General features: G+C 42.8%; 1 protein-coding gene across 13 annotated transcripts in view, besides 1 other annotated feature; it reads left to right on the top strand.

Moving 5' to 3' along the window:
• The window catches only part of SUSD4 (sushi domain containing 4), a 144,405-nt gene that overhangs the window by 40,532 nt on the left and 82,078 nt on the right, over positions 1–21,795 (top strand). The gene's annotated exons all lie outside the window — the stretch shown is intronic.
• Positions 4,163–4,457: a silencer, noted in NCBI's record as "tiled region #8379; K562 Repressive non-DNase unmatched - State 13:Ctcf". NCBI's record gives its function as "represses a minimal TATA promoter and a strong SV40 promoter by Sharpr-MPRA in K562 cells {active_cell/tissue: K562}" and the evidence as "EXISTENCE:reporter gene assay evidence [ECO:0000049][PMID:27701403]".

Genomic DNA, 21,795 nt, shown 5'->3' with positions numbered 1-21,795 from the left:
TAAGAAAGTTTGCTGCCCTACTAGATAAAGCTGGGTATCCATGAAGGGTCACATGGAAATAGATCCTGGAAAGGGAGATAACTGCATTTCCAGACTGATCTTGAGAGAGGAGAAGCAAAGTGCATTTGTGTCTTACTGATCCAGCATCTTTGGAGGAGTGGTAAGTTCTGTGGAAATTAATATTATTATGAGCTATGTTTTAAGCTTTTAAGATACCTTTTTAAAGTAACCATTTTGGATGGGAATCTTTGTAAATATGTATTTTCCTGCCTCCTTAAATATTGGTGTCTTGGGTCTTCATTGTGAACAGTCACTATGAAGTGATTCTAGCAGCCAATGGATGACAGTCACAGCAGCCATTTGCCCATACACCCAATGGCCCCAAGACACTCTGCCTTTGTCACAGCCCTTATGTCTTTGATTCTGTGTTTTGTTTTCCTTTCTCTTCATGGCCATCTGTTAGCTGTCACTTGTCATTGCTTCCTGTGTACCTAGGCTGAGCTCATCTTCATAAGCATTTACTGCATGCCCACTATGTGCCTGATGCCATACTAGATACTGGAATTACAATGGGATGTGGAGGGATGGAGGAAAGTTGAAACTTATGCATTGCAGTCAGTCGGATGTGCCAAAAAGTAAAGATAAGAAATACATGTGCTCTTTACTTCCTGTGGCTTTTCATGTGGCAATGAAACCTCACATCCACAGATGGTGAAAGACCCCTTAAATGTATTTCCCATAAGCTAAATTAGCTGCTTCAGTTAAGGTCTCTTTTTTTTTAAAATAATTGGGCAGATTGATTCCAGGTTCAGACTTTCTATCTGGGTTGTTTCTGCTTCTCAGATGTTCTCCCTTTGCCCTCCTTCTTAAATGGCATCTGGAGTAGAGGAAGCCTCGATGTCCTCATAGCAGTGGGCCAGAGCATCCTGGCCTTGAGTGCTTCTCCTGAGTCCTTGCCCTTTTGTCATCATGCATCCTGCTGGCATTCAGGGCTGGAGTTCACAGCTACTGTGACTCAGTCTTGAGGTCTCTTGGCACAGTCACTGGCAGACTGGTCTCTACCCTCTGAGTCTTGGCCTCACCCTGCATCCTGTACCTGGCCTGGGTGGTCTACCCTGCCATTTAGCTATGAAGCCCCCATCCCTGTCTCCATGGCAGCCTCATGGCTGGACCCTTCCACCCTCAATCTTCAGCTCTATTACATGTCTCTCATTGGATCCTTGCATGCCACATGGAAGTCAAGTGACTCTTGTGAGTGCTCTCTGGGGCCCCTGTTGATCAGAACTCTACACACCACCATTTTCTGTCTACTGGGGACATCTCATGTTGATGTGGAGGCATTTGCATGCTGGTTTCATGCACCCATAATCTCAAAGGGATGCAGAAAACAGCTTTTAGCTTCTTCACTTAACCTCTCTTCTCCTTTTTTCCTCCTTCTTTTCCTCTTTCCTTCCATCCCTCCCTCTCTCCCTTCCTTCTTTTCCTCTTTCCTTCCATCCCCCTCCTTCCTTCCTCCTTCCTTTTTGTCACTCTCCCTCACTCCCTTCACCCTCCGTCATTGTGAGATCAGCCCCTAAGAGAGGAGGAGCAGGAACATGCTCCCCAGCACTGCTCTTCAGCACCTCCTTTCTCTCTTCTTTCAGTCTCTACCTAAAGGCGAAACTGGAAGGGCCGTCTGCTTCCTCTGCCTGTGGAGGCAGGTGCTACCCTTTCTCCATCATATCCTGCTTTCCTCTGTGGCCTTCCTCAGTGCTCTGCTTTTCTTCCTTGGGGAAAGGCTTAGCTGTAATTGTGTAAAGGCTGCAGGGAGCATGATTATAAGGGAATGAAAAACATATCAGTTTAATATTTTCAAAATACCATGCCTGTTGCCTAAGCATAAATAACACATGGTCTCTGTCCATGAAAAGCTTACCCTAGTCAGGGGGTTAGATTCATGACGAATAATTTCAAGATAATTTGGTGAATGCACTGTTCCCATTGCAGTCTTCTGCTCCCCGCCTCGCATGCATATGCACACACACACGTACCTACATGTCAACAGACACACATGCACACACCACACACTCACCATACACACACACACACCCCAGGGCTGCCTACCCTTCTAATCTCCTACCTCATGGCATTTGCCACCTCTTATCTTATATCACAATTATTTGTGTACAGATTTTAGCTTCTAGAGGGCAGGAGCCTTGTCTGTTTTGTAGCACCTGGCACAATGTCCTAAATTCATTAATTGAAAAATCGATGTGTTAGGTCTTTCCTGTGTACCATGCTCTATGCTTGACACTGAAGTTAGATAAATAGGACACGAACTCTTAGAAACTCACAGTCTGCCTCAAGGTTCTCAACAGAATTCAAGAGGTCTGTGAGCTTAGATGAGAAAACAATTTACCTTTTAATTTTACTAATCTCTAACCAAAGTTTAACATTTCCTTTTCTTCTGGAGGTAGGAAATTGACTAGAGTAAGCTGAGCAGTACCTGTGACTCTGTCACCTGTAGGAGTCACAGATATTTTCGTATCGCCCACAGTTGTTATAAATATCTCACAATCTCATATCATCAATTAGTGTTATTACAGGCTAAGCATCTCCAATCCGGAAATCCGAAATCCAAAATGCTCTGAAACCCAAAACTTTTTGAGTGCTGACCTGATGCTCAAAGGAAATGCTCATTGGAGTGTTCTGGGTTTTGGATTTTGGGATTTGGGATGCTCAATCGGTAACTATACTGTAAATATTCCAAAATCTGAAAACATTTGAAGTCTGAAACACTTCTGGTCCCAGGAGTTTTAGATAAGAGATACTCTACCCGTATTAGACCCAAAGTAAACGTTATTTGATGTTTTAATAAAGAAGCACACATACTGCCATATCACAGATCTGTTTAAAAAATATTTTGATAACTATATTTCAGTATAACCAGTTTCCTTCATAATACTATGCTTTTTATTTTATGCATTTAAAAACATTATTTTGAAAGGGTCCATGTGCTTCACCAGATTGCCAAAGGCATCCATGGTTCAAAAAGATTTAGAATACCTGGTTTCATTGGATCCACAAACACATGATTCCAGCAACAAGGTAAGTTCTACGCTAGTGATAGAAACATGGCATTAGAAAGGGACAAAGGAAGAAACACATGCTGCCCAGAGAAGTCAGCAAATTCTCCCCAGAAGAGATGAAGGGCACTGGGTGATGGTGAAGATAATAACAGATATTGATTACTTACCATGGACCAGGCAGAGTTCTCAGTGAGCTACATAGAATATCTCCTTTAAACCTCGTAACAGCCCTGGCCAGTAAGTGCTTTATTATCTCCATTTTATAGATGAGAAAACTGAGACCTAAAGAGGTTCATTGACTTGCCCCAAGTCACACAGCTAGAAATGGACTGAGTCAGGATCGCATGCAGGTCTCTGCATCTGTCTTTGCCGTGTACTGCCTCCCAAAATGCTGAAGAAAAGCAGGAAGGAGCCCTCAGGTCTGGTACCTGAGCCTGGAGTAGGCCTGTCTCTGCTTTTCACTGGCTGTGCAGTGTCAGCGTTTCTTTCAGAGAGTGGGCACGTCTTGTGGAGTAGGGCAATGGCCTGATCAGATGAGAAGCGGGCTGTCACTGAAAAGACACCTGTGAACACTAGGACTCTTTGGTCTGGACAGGTGAGGCATGAGAGAGGTCAGGATTGAAATTCGGAAGATCATGCCACATGTGGAATGAGAGGCTATTAGAATGAGGGTAGTACCTTTGAAACTTGCAAGAAGTAAATCTAGAAAAAACTTAAAGGAAATACCACTTCACACAGAAGGCCAGGTGCAATTTAACTAGTTTCAAAAAGGATTGGGACAAATTTGTGAATGACAGAGTTGTTAGTGGAGCCAGGTCCTCAGCTTGGGGCTTGTGGAGATGAGGCACTGTCCTGGGACGGCCCTTCCTGAGCTCAGGGCATTGAGCAAGAAAACATACTTTTGTAACAGTAGTGCTCTGAGACTCTCAGACTAAAGAGAGGTGTCCCTCTTCCTGTGTGAGCTGCAGGGTACTGGATCCCACAGCTTCCTTTATTTTCTTTTGTAGGAATTCTTTCTGTGTGTCTGCTGCCCCCTTGCTCTGTTCCACTCAAGGAAGATGTTGATGTTAGCAGACAAACCCATTGCCCCCACTTCTGCTACCCGTGTTTAGCCAGATGTCCTTGGGGGCCTCTGTGCAACACCCCGAGAAGCGGAGGGACACAACCACCCAGGGTATGCCTGTGTGGAAGGAGAGCAGCTAGCTCAGGCCCAGAGGGAGCGCCTAGTGTCCTGGTCTTGTTCTACATGCTGAGTGCATTTCAGCTCACAGGCACAGCACTTCTTAAGGACCACCCCATACCCACCTTCCCTCCCCTGATGATGTCGTCACATTACAAACAGAACAGGGCAAATACTGCACTGCTGTCTCTTTTAGATGTGCGATATTTATTGAGATGTTGGGGACAGAGAGAGAGGAGGTAAAAGTTGCTTTTTCTACATTCACCTACTTTTTTTTTAAAGGACAAAAGTGTAACTCCCAGAAGAAATCATTTAACAAAGAAATCTCTCCTGGATGAGCAAGAACAAAGGGAAGCTTCGGGAGGGCTTAGGAGGCGTCCCTGCATCAGGCATTGTGCCAGCTCTTAGGAGCACTTCTAATCCTTATCACAATGCCGTGGGTGTTCACCTGGCTTCGCTGATGAGAAAATGGAGTCATAGGAGGAAAGTAACTTGTCCAGCCAAGACCACCTTCCTAATAAGTGGTACGACTGGATTTGAACCCAGATCTGATTGGCTTCGAGCCCTTGCCTTTTCCACCATCCACCCCTCCTACCAATAGTTCTGCAGTGAAAAAGGTAAGGGAGGGGAAGCATGCTCCTAAGCATTACTTTCTTTGCTAGTTGGAAGTGTCAGTGTGAAACTTTTGATTTCATTGACAAACATAAAGAAACCGTGGATTAAAATTCAGCAAGAAGAAACATGCCCCCAGAAAAGAAGCTGGTCCTATTGAAAGGGCCGCTGTATTCCCTCCTACCTGTGAAAACCAGTCTGTCTTGTGTTTCCTGTTGTCTCATGTTGGTGTGTTGGTGAATTTTCAGTGTGTCCTTTGGGTAGATGAAGATGACCCAGGAGTGGATTAAGGGGGTGTATTGTGAGCAGGTTATTAACCCAGCCTGCTGAGAGGGACAGAGCCTGCTGGACTCGTTCATCTTGTATTAAGAAGGGCAAGCATTTTCTTGTAAATTTGTTTGAGTTCATTGTAGATTCTGGATATTAGCCCTTTGTCAGATGAGTAGGTTGCGAAAATTTTCTCCCATGTTGTAGGTTGCCTGTTCACTCTGATGGTAGTTTCTTTTGCTGTGCAGAAGCTCTTTAGTTTAATTAGATCCCATTTGTCAATTTTGGCTTTTGTTGCCATTGCTTTTGGTGTTTTGGACATGAAGTCCTTGCCCACGCCTATGTCCTGAATGGTAATGCCTAGGTTTTCTTCTAGGGTTTTTATGGTTTTAGGTCTAACATTTAAATCTTTAATCCATCTTGAATTGATTTTTGTATAAGGTGTAAGGAAGGGATCCAGTTTCAGCTTTCTACATATGGCTAGCCAGTTTTCCCAGCACCATTTATTAAATAGGGAATCCTTTCCCCATTGCTTGTTTTTCTCAGGTTTGTCAAAGATCAGATAGTTGTAGATATGCGGCATTATTTCTGAGGGCTCTGTTCTGTTCCATTGATCTATATCTCTGTTTTGGTACCAGTACCATGCTGTTTTGGTTACTGTAGCCTTGTAGTATAGTTTGAAGTCAGGTAGTGTGATGCCTCCAGCTTTGTTCTTTTGGCTTAGGATTGACTTGGCGATGCGGGCTCTTTTTTGGTTCCATATGAACTTTAAAGTAGTTTTTTCCAATTCTGTGAAGAAAGTCATTGGTAGCTTGATGGGGATGGCATTGAATCTGTAAATTACCTTGGGCAGTATGGCCATTTTCACAAACAACCCCATCAAAAAGTGGGCGAAGGACATGAACAGACACTTCTCAAAAGAAGACATTTATGCAGCCAAAAAACACATGAAGAAATGCTCATCATCACTGGCCATCAGAGAAATGCAAATCAAAACCACTATGAGATATCATCTCACACCAGTTAGAATGGCAATCATTAAAAAGTCAGGAAACAACAGGTGCTGGAGAGGATGTGGAGAAATAGGAACACTTTTACACTGTTGGTGGGACTGTAAACTAGTTCAACCATTGTGGAAGTCAGCGTGGCGATTCCTCAGGGATCTAGAACTAGAAATACCATTTGACCCAGCCATCCCATTACTGGGTATATACCCAAAGGACTATAAATCATGCTGCTATAAAGACACATGCACACGTATGTTTATTGCGGCACTATTCACAATAGCAAAGACTTGGAACCAACCCAAATGTCCAACAATGATAGACTGGATTAAGAAAATGTGGCACATATACACCATGGAATACTATACAGCCATAAAAAATGATGAGTTCATGTCCTTTGTAGGGACATGGATGAAATTGGAAACCATCATTCTCAGTAAACTATCGCAAGAACAAAAAACCAAACACCGCATATTCTCACTCATAGGTGGGAATTGAACAATGAGATCACATGGACACAGGAAGGGGAATATCACACTCTGGGGACTGTGGTGGGGTCGGGGGAGGGGGGAGGGATAGCATTGGGAGATATACCTAATGCTAGATGACACGTTGGTGGGTGCAGCGCACCAGCATGGCACATGTATACATATGTAACTAACCTGCACAATGTGCACATGTACCCTAAAACTTAGAGTATAATAAAAAAAAAAAAAAAAAAGAAAAAAAAAAAAAAAAGAAGGGCAAGCATTGACGAGCTCCCAGTGAAGTCAGGGCAACTCAGGGCAGCGAATCTGGAGCAAATGGGCTTCCTGGCCTCATGAGAGACATTGATTTAATAATAATCATAAATATAATAATAAATTTCCTTTTGGGAGTAAAAGAGAAATATGAACTGTTGGCAAAGACCATTTACCCAAGTTTCTTGAGGACTTTCTGAAAGACTAAATGCAATTTCAAAACAAAGTACTTCCAGGACCAGGTTGAGACACAAGAACGTCCAAAGACTCTGCTGCTTGACCTGAAGGCCTTCACCTGTTCCAGGAAAGGGGTCCCAATCCGGACCCCAAAAGAGGGTTCTTGAGTCTCATGCAAGAAAGAATTCAGGGAGAGTCCATAGAGTAAAGTGAAAGCAAGAGGAATAAAAGAATGGCTACTCCATAGACACAGCAGCCAAGAGGGGCGGGTTGCCCATTTTTATGGTTATTTCTTGATTTTATGCTAAATAAGGGGTGGATTATTCATGCTTCCCCTTTTAAGGCCATATAGGATAACTTTCTGATGTTGCCATGGCATTTGTAAACTGTCATGGCACTGGTCGGAGTGTAGCAGTGAGGATGACCAGAGACCACTCTTGTCGTCATCTTGGTTTTGGTGGGTTTTAGCTGGCTTCTTTACTGCCACCTGTTTTATCAGCAAGGTCTTTATGACCTATATCTTGTGCTGACCTCTTATGTCATCCTGTGGCTTACAATGCCTTAACCATCTGGGAATGCAGCCCAGTAGGTTTCAGTCTCATTTTATCCAGCTCCTAGTCAAGATGGAGTTGCTCTGGTTCACATACCTCTGACACTTCCATCAGCCTAACCTCTGGTTGATGATGCCTTTACAAGGTCTGCGCTGCCAGACTCATCGTCATCTCCAAGGCCCCCCTCCTCTCCTAGGTGCCTCTCCTTGCCTCAGACACCCTCTCTTGCCTTCTTTGGCCAACCAGATCCTACAGTTAAGGCCTCTAGGGACGGTTGTGCAGGGAGGCGGAGGGGGCCAGACAGACCTGCATTTGGATCCTGCCCTGTGACCTACTAACTTGGGGACCTTGGGCAAATTACTTGACTTCTCTGAGCCTCTGTCTCCTTGGTTATAAAATGGGTGTGTGAATGTGAGCCCCAGCTCAGCCTCCCTTTTGCCCTCCACTGGGCATGGTTCTGACCTAGTAGTTCCATCCTGGACCTGGCAGAAGTCCTTTTGAATGGGGGAGCATTCTGGGACAGACTCATCTTCAGAGAAGGAGGAGGCAGGTCAACGGGCTTCTCCAGGGGCAGTTGTCAGGGGTGAGGAGAAACGTCCAGTCCTGCTTGGTGTCTGTCCTGGCTTTGTTCCAACCCCCTTCCTCCAGGTTCCCATGTGGCCAGGAGTGTGGAGGAGAGTGGAGAGGAGCTTGAAGACTGAAGGAGCCATTCCTAGCGATAACCCTGTAAGCCATGGGATGCAGCAAGGCAGTATTATTTCGGCACCCCCATCAGAATGCTATAAAAAGGAGAGATATTCTCCCTCACTTCTCCCCAGAAGTGGCTGGCCTTGTGCCAGCAACTGATTTCTGGATAAATGCACCAATGAAGTTTCTCTCCATCCCCATGCCCCTACCTTTTTTGGGTGCTTAAGATTTTCCCAAGTCATTTTGGGTTGCAGCCTCTCTTCTGCCCTGTTATTCTCCTTGCCAGCCCCCGCTGCACCTCTCTGCATCCTTGATCACCTTGGTGCCCTTCCTTGCAGGCTTTGTATGCAGGTCTCACATCTGAGCCACTTTCCATGGGTGGCAGAGCTTCTCAACACTTGTGTGTCCCCTTTTCTTCTAGAGTCACACTATAGAATCAGCCCTGTTTTTCTTTGACCTTTTGAAAACCTGCCATTGTAAATGTAGGCTTCTAAGACAGACTGTATATGTCTAGCATCCCCTTCCCTTGCAATCAAGACTTCTAATCAGCAGTCTCTTCCTCCCAAGGGCTTGTCACTTTAACTTTGATGTCTAATTCTTGAAACTCAGGCTCAGGTGCTGAGGAGCAGCTGCCGTAGTGATCAGATCTGTTCTCTGAGACCAACTTAAAGAGAAATAGCGGAAAAATTTTTTTTTCAGATGAATTTTACCTGGAATTGTAGCCATCTGATGGATTCTTCCTTCTCCCTGCATAGACAAAACCAGACCACGGCAATGCGATAAAGAAAGCGTTTAATAGTCAGAAGGCCAGCTGTGCTACATGGAAGTTGGTGTTATTACTCAAATCAATCTCTCTGAAAATGCAGACGCTAGGGTTTTTCAACGATAGTTTGGCGGGCCAGGGAGTCTGCTTGTGGGTGGGGCCACAGGACCAGTTGGCGGAGTCCGCGGGTCCAGTTGGAGCCATTGGTAGTCAGAAATGCAAAAACCTGAAAAGCCATCTCAAAAGACCAATCTTAGGTTCTGCAATAGTGACGTTATCTGCAGGAGTAATTAGAGAAGTTGAGTAATTAGAGAAGGTATCTTCTGACCTCCAGAATAATGGCTGGTAATGGTTTATGTCTACACTTTAGCAGAATTCAACCTTCTAACGTCCTCCTAACCTGATGGCCCTTCATTAGCTCTGCAAAGGCAGTTAAGCTTTGGGGGAAGACCCGCTATCATTTAAACTATAAACTAAATGTCTCCCAAACATAGCTTGGCTTACACCCAGGAATGAGCAAAGACAGCCAGCCTGTAAGACTAGAAGCAAGATGGGGTCAGCCATGACAGATTTCTTCTACTGTCATCATTTTGCAAAGGTGGTTATAGAACTCTAGTATAGAAAATATAAATTAAGTAGTGGTCTCAGAGCTCCACTCCCTCAGCCTCCTCTTTCCCATCTGAGGCAGAGCCTGAAAGACACAATCTTTGTTCTAGGGGAGAAAATTCTCGGCAGATAGAGATCTCATCAGACACTGTCAGATAAGATTTCTGGAGTGTATTAGTTTGTTTTCATGCTGCTGTTAAAGACATACCTGAGACTGGGCAATTTACAAAAGAAAGAGGTTTAATGGACTCACAGTGCCACATGGCTGGGGAGGCCTCACACTCATGGCAGAAGGTGAAAGGGACGTCTCACATGGTGGTAGACAAGAGAAGAGAGCTCGTGCAAGGAAACTCCCCTTATAAACCATCAGATCTCGTGAGATCTCTTATTCACTATGATGAGAATAGCACGGGAAAGACCCGCCCCCATGATTCAATGACCTCCCACCAGGTCCCTCCCATAACATGTGGGAATTATGGGAGCTACAATCCAAGATGAGATTTGGATGGGGACACAGCCAAACCCTATCATGGAGCCTTTTCAGCTCATCTTCCTATTTTTGAAATCTTTCTGTCCCACTCATGTCTCCCCCAGTCTGTGTGGGTCATGGCATCATCACTGCTCACCAACGAGCATCCTACCCTGAGTCTTAGATGTGACACAAGTTGTAGATCTATGTAACTTTCAGCTCTGTTCCGCCACCCCGCTGAGGTCAGATTTCCGCTCACTGAATGTTTATCCAGGACTTGGTGTGGTATTTCATTCAGTCCTCATTACTCCATGTGTCAGGTATTGTTTTCCCCTTTTGCCAGAGTGAGTTTGGGGAGATGAAAAGGTTTAGTAACAGGCATAAAGTCACAGAACTACGTGATGGTAAAGCTGTTACTGATCCGGACCCCAAGAGAGGATTCTTGGATCTTACACAAGAAAGAATTTGAGGCAAATCCATAGAGTAAAGTGATAGCAAGTTTATTAAGAAAGTAAAGGAATAAAGAATGGCTACTCCATAGGCAGGGCAGTTCTGAGGGCTGCTGTTTGGCTATTTTTTATGGTTATTTCTTGATTATATGCTAAATAAGGGGTGTTATTTGTGAGTTTTCCCGGGAAGGGGTGGGCAATTCCTGGAACTGAGGGTTCCTCTCCTTTTTAGACCATATGGGGTAACTTGCTGATGTTGCCATGGCATTTGTAAGCTGCCGTGGTGCTGGCAGGAGTGTCTTTTAGCATGCTAATTAATGCCTTATAATTAGTGTGTAATGAGCAGTGAGGATGACCAGAGGTCACTTTCATAGCCATCTTGGTTTTGGTGGGTTTTGGCCAGCTTCTTTACAGCATTCTTTTATCAGCAAGGTTTTTGTGACCTTACCTTGTGCTGACCTCCTATCTTATCTGGTGACTTAGAATGTGTAACCTTCTGGGAATACAGTCCAGTAGGTCTCAGCCTTATTTACTCAGCCCCTATTCAAGATGGAGTCACCCTAGTTCAAATGCCTCTGACACTACTACCCCCTCAGGTTTCATAATTTACTAGAACAACTCACAGAACTCAGGAAGATAAAGGATATATAGGATATAAAGGATGCAAATCAGAACCATCCCAAAGAAGACACACATAGGATAAGGTCTGGGAGGGTCCCAAATGCAAATCTTTCATGTCCTCAGAATGCATCACCCTCCTGGTACATCCACGTATATCACTAGACTCACCCAAGCTTTGGTGTCCAGAGTTTCTACCAAGGCTCCATTACATAGGCATGATTGATTAACTCATCAGCCACGTGGTTGGACTCAATCTGCATGCCCCCTCTCCTTGTCAGAGGTCAGACTGAGATCATGTGACTCAAAGTCCCAACCCTCTAATCACATGGTTGATCTTTCTGGCATGGCCAGCCCCCATCCTGAGTCACCTCTTTAGCATAAACTATCTGGAGATCATCAGTCACCTTGTGAGCATAAACTATCAAGGTTCGCCATGAATAATAAGATACTTCTATAAGGAAATTGCAAGGAGTTGGACAAAACTCCGGAAGCAGGGACAAGGCCAGCCAAATTCTTTGTAACATAGTGGAGCTCTATTGACTCTTTGCCCCTTGCCTATTTCCCCAGACTTGCTCTGCTTAGTGTCTTGACTTCTATCAGCAAGTTGCCATGACTTGTTACCAGGTAACATCACTGTGTTCCTACGCTGGAAATGACCTAGGAAACATGCTGGCTTCAGCCTTCCTTTCCTCATCTGCCTCACTGGCTGATGGGTGACACTGTGAGTAGAGAGAGAGAATGTAGGGATTTTCCTTGAATCCTGAATGAGGGAGCCCAGCCTCAGGGCTGTACCTCTGTGATTGCAGTCAAATCTGCTACCCTTGGGCCTCAGTTTAACAATCCAGGTATCCAGGTCATTCTCAAATTGCATTTGAACAGCCTTTTGGAGTTTTCAAAGCACCAGGGATTCTTGCCTCCCAGGTGCTCCACAGCTCTGAGAGATGGACAGGGTAATTCCAAATTCCTCTGTTTTTAGATACGGTCATGAGGCTCTGGAACCTTCTGTACTTTGCCAAAGGTCATGTATCAGTGAGGTGATGGAGCCTGCCTAGCAGCCAGGATTTGGAGCCAGGTGCCCTTTCCCCAGCACCAGCCAGTCTAACCCTATCCCCAGGAGCCCGAGTGAGTGATTTGATACAGATCACTTTTTTTCTGTCCTGCAGAGTTGAGGCCTAGATAGCTTTTAGTTCCCAGCCTGTCCTATTTGCCCACTAATGAGACAAATTGTAGGCTCCATAAAAAATTAAATAGCAGCTGCTTCATTTTCTTCCTATTGAACTTTGAAATGATGACACTCTCATTTGCATGGCTGCTCAAGGTATGAATATCTGGGCCTGCAGGATCCAAGAGTCCTTAAATTTAACCAGAATCATATGTTTTTTCAGATTGGCTGGTGTAAAATATTTTGAGAACCATTCATGAACCGAACCATTAGCTGTGCAAATGGAGCACGTGATTTCTGCTCACCCTGTTGGCTGCTAATTAATAATATCTTCCTGGTGGAGGTACTACCTGCAGGCTTCTCACTGGAATAACATCAAAGAGATGAAATTAGAAAATGAATTGAGTTTAGAGCAAATCAGCAAACAGCTGAATCCTGGAGCGTAAAGTTCTACACTGCTCTCAGCAATGAAAGGACACAGACAGATACAATGCAAGCCCCTGTTTCACCTAAGTTCTCAGTGCAGATTTTTCTGTTTTGTTTTGTTTTCTGCCCTATAATGATAGTACAGTCTGCATTTCGACACTAGAGAAAGGAAGACTTATTTGCTTCTATGTTGTAGAGGTTTGAGGATTTATAATGTTTTGCAAGAAAAACAAACAATAAAAAATCTGAGCCTATTTCTGTATAAACAAGAATCTGTTTGCAATTTTTTTCTTGCACTCATCTTACATGAGTTTATTCCCATATTTGGCTATTCACAAACACCATCTACCTCCGTCACTACTGTAACATGCCACTTAAACCGTAAATTAGGATAGAAATCTGCAGATAAAAAGGGCCAATACCTCCCTGCCCTTTAGTGACTGTGATTGTCATTATTAGTATTATTATCATTATTTTGGAAGCAAAGCTGTTCAGCAGCAGCACAGGCTGCCTGGAGAGCACTTACATCATATGTAGCATTTCCTTTTATCCTCCAGGTAGTGTTCAGGCTAAAACCAGAGAGAAAGATATTTGTTTTGGGAACTGGTGGTATTTCGTCAACCCATTTCTGATTTACTTCCTTTCTTCACAAACCAACTAACTCCATTGACAGCATATTTATAAAACAGTGTTTCGGAAATTAAGTAGCTTCAGATAGGATGTAATGGTTCATTATCAATCCTGAACAGACGACTGCTTTTTCCTCGGCATCCATCTGTGTTATTTCTCTCCTTGTCTCATGGTACCTGCCTAGTGTGAACACCATTTATTTGCAGCACACAGGCTACCTTCTTGGGGAGGAGAGCTATAAAGCACACCTGCACATTCTACATGTCAGCACTGCAGACCTTCAGAGTCTTGGGCATCTCAGAGTGAACGCCACTTCTCAGGCAGGGAGATGATTTAGAGGGGGCACTAAAGGGACATTATGTTATTTGCAGGTACCTCTGTGGAATTTAATACCCACCAAAACACAGCTAGTCCTCTGTGCCACATGCCTCTAGAGGCACCTCACTGCTTCATTTTGAATCTTTGAGACTGTGTCTATAGAGGGCCACATGGGCCATTTCTGACCTACCCTCAATTTAACAGTCTGTGCCATTAGAGTTCATTTTTTTAAATAGCATTTTTTTCTTGATTATGAATGTTCATTGTAGAAAATTGGAAGAAACAGAAATATGTAAGGAAAAATAGAAAAATCACCCATCAACATTCAATCTTAAATAGCATGGTTAATATTTAGGTATATTTGTTTTCATTTTTTTCCATGTGCACACGTCTTTTTTGTGTATTCCCTCAAAAAAGAATCATGCTGTATACACTTTTGTATTGTATTTCTTTTATTGTTGTTGTTTAGTTAACATATATATGGGGAATTGTCCCTTAATCATTAACACTAATAATTAGCAAATCTTCAAAAACATAGTTTCAATGGTTTCTGAATAGACTGTTAGGAATTGTTTTGGCTCAGGTGCCTCATGTACAGGTGCTCCTGAGAAAGTCTGACCATGCTTGGGAATCAGCGTGCTATGAGATTTTATATAAGGCTTTCCAGTGGAGGGATAGCAGGGAGTCCACATCCTTGCTGCAGCCCAAGGTCATAGCATCACAGCTGTGCTTATATAAGAATCACAGCACTGGGTTCAGAGGCTGGTTCTTCCACACAGAGCAGCATCCACATCACTGACCTCTCTGTCTGGTTAAAGGCACTGTCCCAGGGCTGTCCAACTTAGGGAGAGAAATGGCCCTCCAGGACCATGGGACTCAGTAAAAGATAAAATGAGCAGCCCCTTCAGGCCTGCACCTGAAAGTGTCCAGGTCCAGCTTATCACCAATGGGCCATCAGTGAAGCCCACCTGCCAGTCCCAGGCACGCCGTGGTCCTGTCCAGCCACAGTGCTGGAGTTCTTGTGTAGACCAGATGTTAGAACTCAGAGACACAACTCCAGTGGATTTGATGTGGAACCCTGTAAGCACAGAGGTCACACAGGAGAAACCAAATTATCCATGATTTATGAGTGACAAAATAAGATCAGAGAAGTCTCTGCTAGTCAAAGATATGTCAGGATGTTATTAAAAAAGACTAGTCTTCTGGTGGAATGCATCTTGTCCTCAGAAATGCCTTTCATCCAGGCCTCAGGCATTCTAGAATAGCTGCTACCAGGATTCATACCTGTTCACACCAAACTTACACACCAGGATTGATGCTTAGTTTGGAGAATGAGACAAGAAATGTCACCTTCCTGTATTTCTCTAAATTAAATATAATCTAGCCAGCATCTTGGGCACTGCTATAGTGAGAGGGCTCAGGTTGCCCCTTAGGAACTCAGTCCTACTCACGGTAGCCCCTCCCCAGTCCTGAGCACCACTTCAAGCCCAGTGCTCTGACCTGCGAGTAGAACCTAGAGAGGTCCTGTTGTTTCCCTCTTATCCCTGGAGAAGCTCTCCGGGGTCTCTGTCCTCCATTCTGCTTCCCCCAGAAGAAGCTTTCTTCTGCTAACAAAGATAACCAATAATGAATAGGTAGACAGCAGAGTGCGGGTGTAAGTGCACTCCTTTTATCTGCAGCCATTCAAAAGGATGAGGCTGATCCATGTGTAGTGGTGTGCAGATATCTCCAAGATAGTTGGGGTGTGTACTGGGCTACCTCTTTATATTTAATTATGCTACCTCTGTAATTTTACTTTGAATCCCTGTTGGTTTGTTACAGCAAGGTGTTTTTGTTTTTGTTCTATGTCTTACCCTGTTAAGAGATGGTTGATTGGAAGAGGGAGAAAAACAACAACTCTCTTTCTGCATCAGAAGAATAATGTTTCCCCAAATTTTTATAGTCAGAGAATGACATACTCTATACAAGTCTTTTTGGATGAGTTCATATCGTCATCCTTATAAGTAAATCCTTTATGTTTCATCCTTGTTTAGAGGGAATTCTTCATATTTCATGGTCTTTGTGATTTTCTGGGAGATAACTTTTGGTAGTGGTCTGAAGTACAAGTGCCATCAGGTCAAGATGCCATTCCAGTAGTAGGGGGCAAAGTATTGCAGGCCCACCTCAGAGGATTGTTTTGCTGCCCTCAGAATAGAAGGAAACCCAGATTAGAGATCTGGCTCCCAGGTTCTACTCCCTCTTGTCACTCAGAGCTGTGGGAGCTGGCACAGTTGTTTACATTTTTTGGTCTCAAATTTCTCTACTATAAAATGAGGGAAATTATTTCAGTAAATTCTAAGATTTTTATCCAGCAATAACATTCTGTAATTTTGTTATTCCTGAACAGTTTCAGCTTATATATGCTTATATATTATTTCTTAATGTATTAGGCCATTCTCACATTGTTATAAAGAAATACCTGAGACTGGGTAATTTATAAGGAAAGAGGTTTTATTAGCTTACGGGTCTGCAGGCTGTGTAGGAAGCATGATGCTAGCCTCTGCTGGGCTTCTGGGGAGGCGTCAGGGACCTTACAATCATGGTGGAAGGTGAAGGGGAAGCAGGTGTCTCACATGGTAAGAGCAGGAACAAGAGGGTGGGGGAGGTGCCACACACTTTAAAACAACCACATCTCAAGAGAACTCACTCACTATCACAAGAACAGCACCAAGGGGATGTGCTGAACCATTCATGAGAAATCCAACCCCATGATCCAATCACCTCCCACCAGGCCCCACCTCCAACACTGAGGATTACAGTTCAACATGAGACTTGGGTGGGGACACAGATCCAAACCATATCACATAGTTTTCAGAATATTCTTATAAAAATCCCATTTGACTTAAATAGCCTTAAAAAAAGATGAAAACACTTTGTATTTAAAATAAATTACTATTTAAGTAAGTTATCCCACTATATTCAGATAAAGGATTTGCTGGCACAAATCCGAATAACTGATCAATAATTAGCTGTTGTTGTCCAAGGACAGCATGGGGGGAAAGAACAGAATTGGTGGCTACCAGAACATCTGGGAAAGTTTTTCATGATAAATTTATAAAGGTGATAGGAGCAAGATTTTCCTCAAGCTAATCTTTAAAAAAAACAAAGTACGACAACAACAACAAAACCCAGAGCCCTAATCTTGTTGCTTGACTAAGCATGTACTGAGGTTCACCTGTCACCAGCACCGTGGATAACCCGGGTAGTGAAAGAACACAGTCTTCTTGCACACACTGTCTGGAGTCAGCCAGCGCTTTCTATTTCCCATAGTATCTTCTGTTTCACATAGTGTCTTGTTCTTCCTCCCCATCTCCAATCCCCCCGCAAAAGTCCCAGTGGCACTTGAGAATCTGCATAGAGATTGAAAACCTCACATGCTATCTGGACTCTAGTTTACAAATGAGCTATGTAAGGGAAGGAATATTCAGTATCACTAAAAAAAGAGTGTTTGAAAGTTGTTACTATTAACAGTTGGATTTTCATAAAGCAACTGTGAGAACTAATCCTATCAAACTGTCATTGATCTCATGGGGTTGTTGTATGGATGAAATGAGATTGTATATGTAAAACGCATTGTAAACTGTGAAGTTGTATCCATGTGGAAAACGTATTTTAGTATTGCACTAAAGCTGTTGCTCACAGAAAAGAAAGGAAATTTGATTTCATAAAAAACAACAAATAGCCATAGGCATGTTGAGATTGCCCCATGCATTGTCTTCTGGGCTGCTTCAGTCTAAGTGCTTGTGCTTTGGGAGGTTTTTTCAAGAAGAGACTGGCTGGATGTGGTGGCTCACGCCTGTAATCCCAGCACTTTGGGAGGCCAAGGAGGGAGCCACCTAGGAGTCAGAGACCAGCCTAGGCAATGTGTTGAGATCCTGTCTCTATAAAAATAAAATAAAAATACTTAAAATAATTTGTAAAAGAAAAGACTATAAACTGTAGAATTTAGAAGTGGAAGGGACACCCCCCCCCAAAAAAAAAAACTCATCCATATGCCTCATTTAGTGATAAGATATTAACACCCAGAAAGATCAAGTTACTTGTCTAGCATCACAGGGTTAGCTAGACAGGTAGCTTTCATTATACTTAATAAGGATGTGCTTTAGAAAAGAGCCACATCTTTGACCATATTAATCAGTTAAAAAATTATCTGGTGGCTTATGCCTGTAATCCCAGCACTTTGGGAGGCCAAGATGGGCAGATCGCTTGTGCTCAGGAGTTCAAGACCAGCTTGGGCAACATGACAAAATTCTGTCTCTACCAAAAACATAAAAAATTATCCAGGCATGGTGGCACACACCTGTAGTCCCAGCTACTCAAGAGGATGAGGTGTGAGGATCGCTTGAGCCTAGGAGGTAGAGGCTGCAGTGAGCTGAGATTGTGCCACTGCACTCCAGCCTGGGTGACAGAGTGAGACCCTATCTCAAAAACAAAAAAATTACCCATGCCTTCTTCAAATGTTTCGACAATTGATAATCTTAAAACTTACAAATGCAAGACTTCCCTGCCACCATCTTCCTGTTGATGAAGTGAATCCTCAGATTTTCCTGATGAGTGGTTTTCTGTGCTTGCTTGATTTTGAATAGATGAAGGTTTATTCTGTTTTCCCATGATATAATACCACAATCTGGAAGAATTTTGTGAAGTTGCTGGGCATGCTTTTATAGAGCAGTTTCATGAGACTGGAGTGAAAATCACATTATGAGTTAGCATTGTTATCAGTTTTATTGGAGCTGAAACTGAGTGAAAGGATTTAGGAATAATTGGGTAATCAAAGCGAATTAAATCAAGAGAGGGGAAAATATCAGTTCTGGCATCAAATGGGGACTGCAATGACTTCCACATCTGTGGTCTTTATCCATTTTAATCAAGTCTAAATTATGCTATTAAGACTTATTTTTGTGACGTTTACTTGTTCAGACATAGCCGACTTTATATTCATCTCTGAATATTTCTTGAAACATTAAAACATTCTCACTATTTCTAGGCAAGAGTTACCTAATTTGATTAGCATCCAAATATTCAGAGTTGATACTGTGTTTACAATCATGAGTGCAGTGTTCAATGTAGTTTCTGGGTAATAGAATCTGCATACTAAGCCTTTAGCCCACATGGATGAATTCTGCATCCCCCAACTCATTCCCATGTCTTCAAAAAACTAGGTTTAAGTGTGCCTTGTTGGTATAAATTTGCTATAATAAATAGTATATCGTGCTATATGGCAGAAGTATGACTATACTAACTAGCCCAGTCTTGCTTTCTGGTTTTCTTTTGTTGTATTTCCCAAGGGGTACTGCTTTTGCAGTGAAAAATCTATTTTGCCTAATAAATGGTAAACAGTAATCAGCTTCCCCTCCCACCTCTTAAATATATGACTGACAATACACTGAATTAAGGAATGACATAGCACTAAATTCACAAACAAGAAAATTAATTTGGGAACCTTTGATTTTCTTTGATGAATTTTTTGTATTGTCTCTTATTGGAAAATTTGTCTTCAGCCTCCTTTTTTGCTCTGAGCTCTTTCCCCATAAATCTTAGAATCCTTGGTGTTCCCATTTGGTGGTTGGGTTTTGCTTTTGCTTAGTCTCATGGGTGCCCAGAAACATGCACTTCCCTGTGCCCAAATCAGGGGGTTCTTTGAAGCTTGATTGCACACCCCCAAAGAGACCAGTGGAGAGCTTCCCTCAGGAGCTGGCTGCTGTCTCTTAGAACAAAGGCCAGAGCTGAGCTGTCTGTGCATGAAAGGCTGCCGGCCCTTAGATTTCCCCTGCAAGCCTGGCTCTTGAAGAAATCACTTTAATTCTCTAGAGGTTTGTGGCTTACCATCAACTGTTTCATAGCTTGACCTTGTGGCCAAGAGAAGGACTCTATTTAGAAATATTTGTTATTGCTCCTAAGTTCAATTGTCATCATCAAAATCATCAAAGACACTTTATTCTAGCAAAAGTTAGGAGAAAGAATAGGCTTGAATATTTTCAGATATTAACATGGCTCTAGGAATTTAGAGAATTGCCTCTGTATGAAGCAATATGTTTTCATTCTTCGGGGAACTGGTTGAATATTAATCACATAGCATATATATATATATATATATATATATATATATATATATATATATATATATATATATATATATATGGAAACCTGAGACACAGAGAGGTTAAGGAACTTACCCAGAGTTACACAGCTAGAGGATGGCAGAGTCGGGATTCAAAGTATACATTCTCACTCTACAACCTGTGCCTATAAGCACCAGCTACATTATTGAAAGTACGTATGTTTTTGAGTATCATGACAAGGTGGAGTGTATTGAAAGTAGTGTTTTTCAAACCTTTTTGACTGTGACCCACTGGAATATACATTGCAAACTAGCCTGTATGCACAAATAAAACTAGTAAAACCACACAAAACAATACTCACCGTTACCATGCAGGGTGTGTATGGACTTTTCTTTTCTGTTCCACTTCATTTCTAAAGGGTGCTGGTCAAGACCCTTAAAATTGATTTCAGGACCTACTATGTAGGGAGACCCCCTGAAACTATTGCTACAGAATAAAAGATGAAATGCTTCTGATTATTGTAAATACAAAATTGCATGCAGGATTGTGTAAAGACAATGCCAGGTTGGACTGCCAGAATGAGCCAACAGCATGTGATGTGCTTCCCCCTGCAGAGAGCCTGTGAACGGACCTGAAGTCAGGGAGGTTTAACATCACCAAGATTCCTATCCCAGAAAAGCAGATGTTCATAGCTCTGGGAATGGAATGCGACCCTTGTGGAGAGCCTATAAACGGACGCATGAGGGGCGCCTGTTCATATGGATAAGACAGGCCTATAAACGCCCTCATCTTGCCACGGCTCTTCTAGGCCTCTTTAGGGTTAAGACATACTCCCTTCTGAGAATTTCTAGTCTAACTGGTTGTCTAGCTTCACATCCTGTTTCTATGGATTGTTTGTAACCAGCTTTTGCTGCAACTGTTACTGCTGATTAATATCTTGCTAATCATAGGTTATAGAAAGACTGTGTTTCTGTTTTAAGGCTCTGTTAGAAATTACTGATGCACACACTATATTGTAAATTCTTATCTCTGTATACTGTACTGCATACAGATGTTATGTTAAAGAATTACTTCATCCCCATGTGACCATCTCACCTCATAATCAAATGACCCTAAATCCCTCACTAACCTTCCCCTGCCCTCACTAAACTTAATAATAAATGCTGGCATATCCAGTACATTGGCGGCTCATGGGACCAGAAGGTGGTGACCCTCCTGGACCCAGCTTTCACTATCTTGTGTATGTCTATTATTTCTCGACCTGCCGATCCACCTGGGAACAAGGAAAGAGCCCCATTGCATTGCGGGCTGCTGGCCAGATCCTGCAATACTACTATAAGGTCACAATTTGCAGGTCAAAAACTATTGAATGTCCTGTAAGGTCACAATTTGCAGGTCAAAAACTATTGAATGTCCTAGATGTAAGCTCACTCTTTGGAAGACTCAGGTTCCCATTGTTGGTTGAATGAATGCCTGTCCGCTCCTTCCCCCAGTGCCCAGCACTGTTTGTTGATGGAGTGAATATATAAACAGATTATAATTTTTCTTTCTTCATATCTATTTTTTAAAATTATTTTCTCTCTTTCCCTTTTCTTTTTAAAAACCAAGAGCTGAAGTTTTCCCAAACAGAGATTGTTTAGGCTGGAACAGAGGTCAAGGAATACTTAATAATGATCTTCTTATGGACATATGTGTTATCAATGATTTTGGGGGTGTTTTTGAGATAGGGTCTTGCTCTGTTGCCCAGGCTTGGGTATAGTGGCACAATCACACCGTAGCTCACTATAGCCTCGAACTCCTGGGCTCAAGTGATCTTCCCACTTCAGCCTCCTGAGTAGCTAGGACTATAGGAGCATACCACCATGCCCAGATAATTTTAATTTTATTTATTTGTTTTTTTAGAGATGTGGTCTTGTTGTGTTGCCGAGGCTGGTCTGAAACTCCTAGACTTAAGCAAAGTGATG

Source organism: Homo sapiens, chromosome 1 (assembly GCF_000001405.40).
Source record: "Homo sapiens chromosome 1, GRCh38.p14 Primary Assembly".
Classification (NCBI taxonomy): domain Eukaryota; kingdom Metazoa; phylum Chordata; class Mammalia; order Primates; family Hominidae; genus Homo; species Homo sapiens.
The sequence above is the reverse complement of the archived record's forward strand: the minus strand, read 5'-3'. Positions and strand labels throughout refer to the sequence as shown.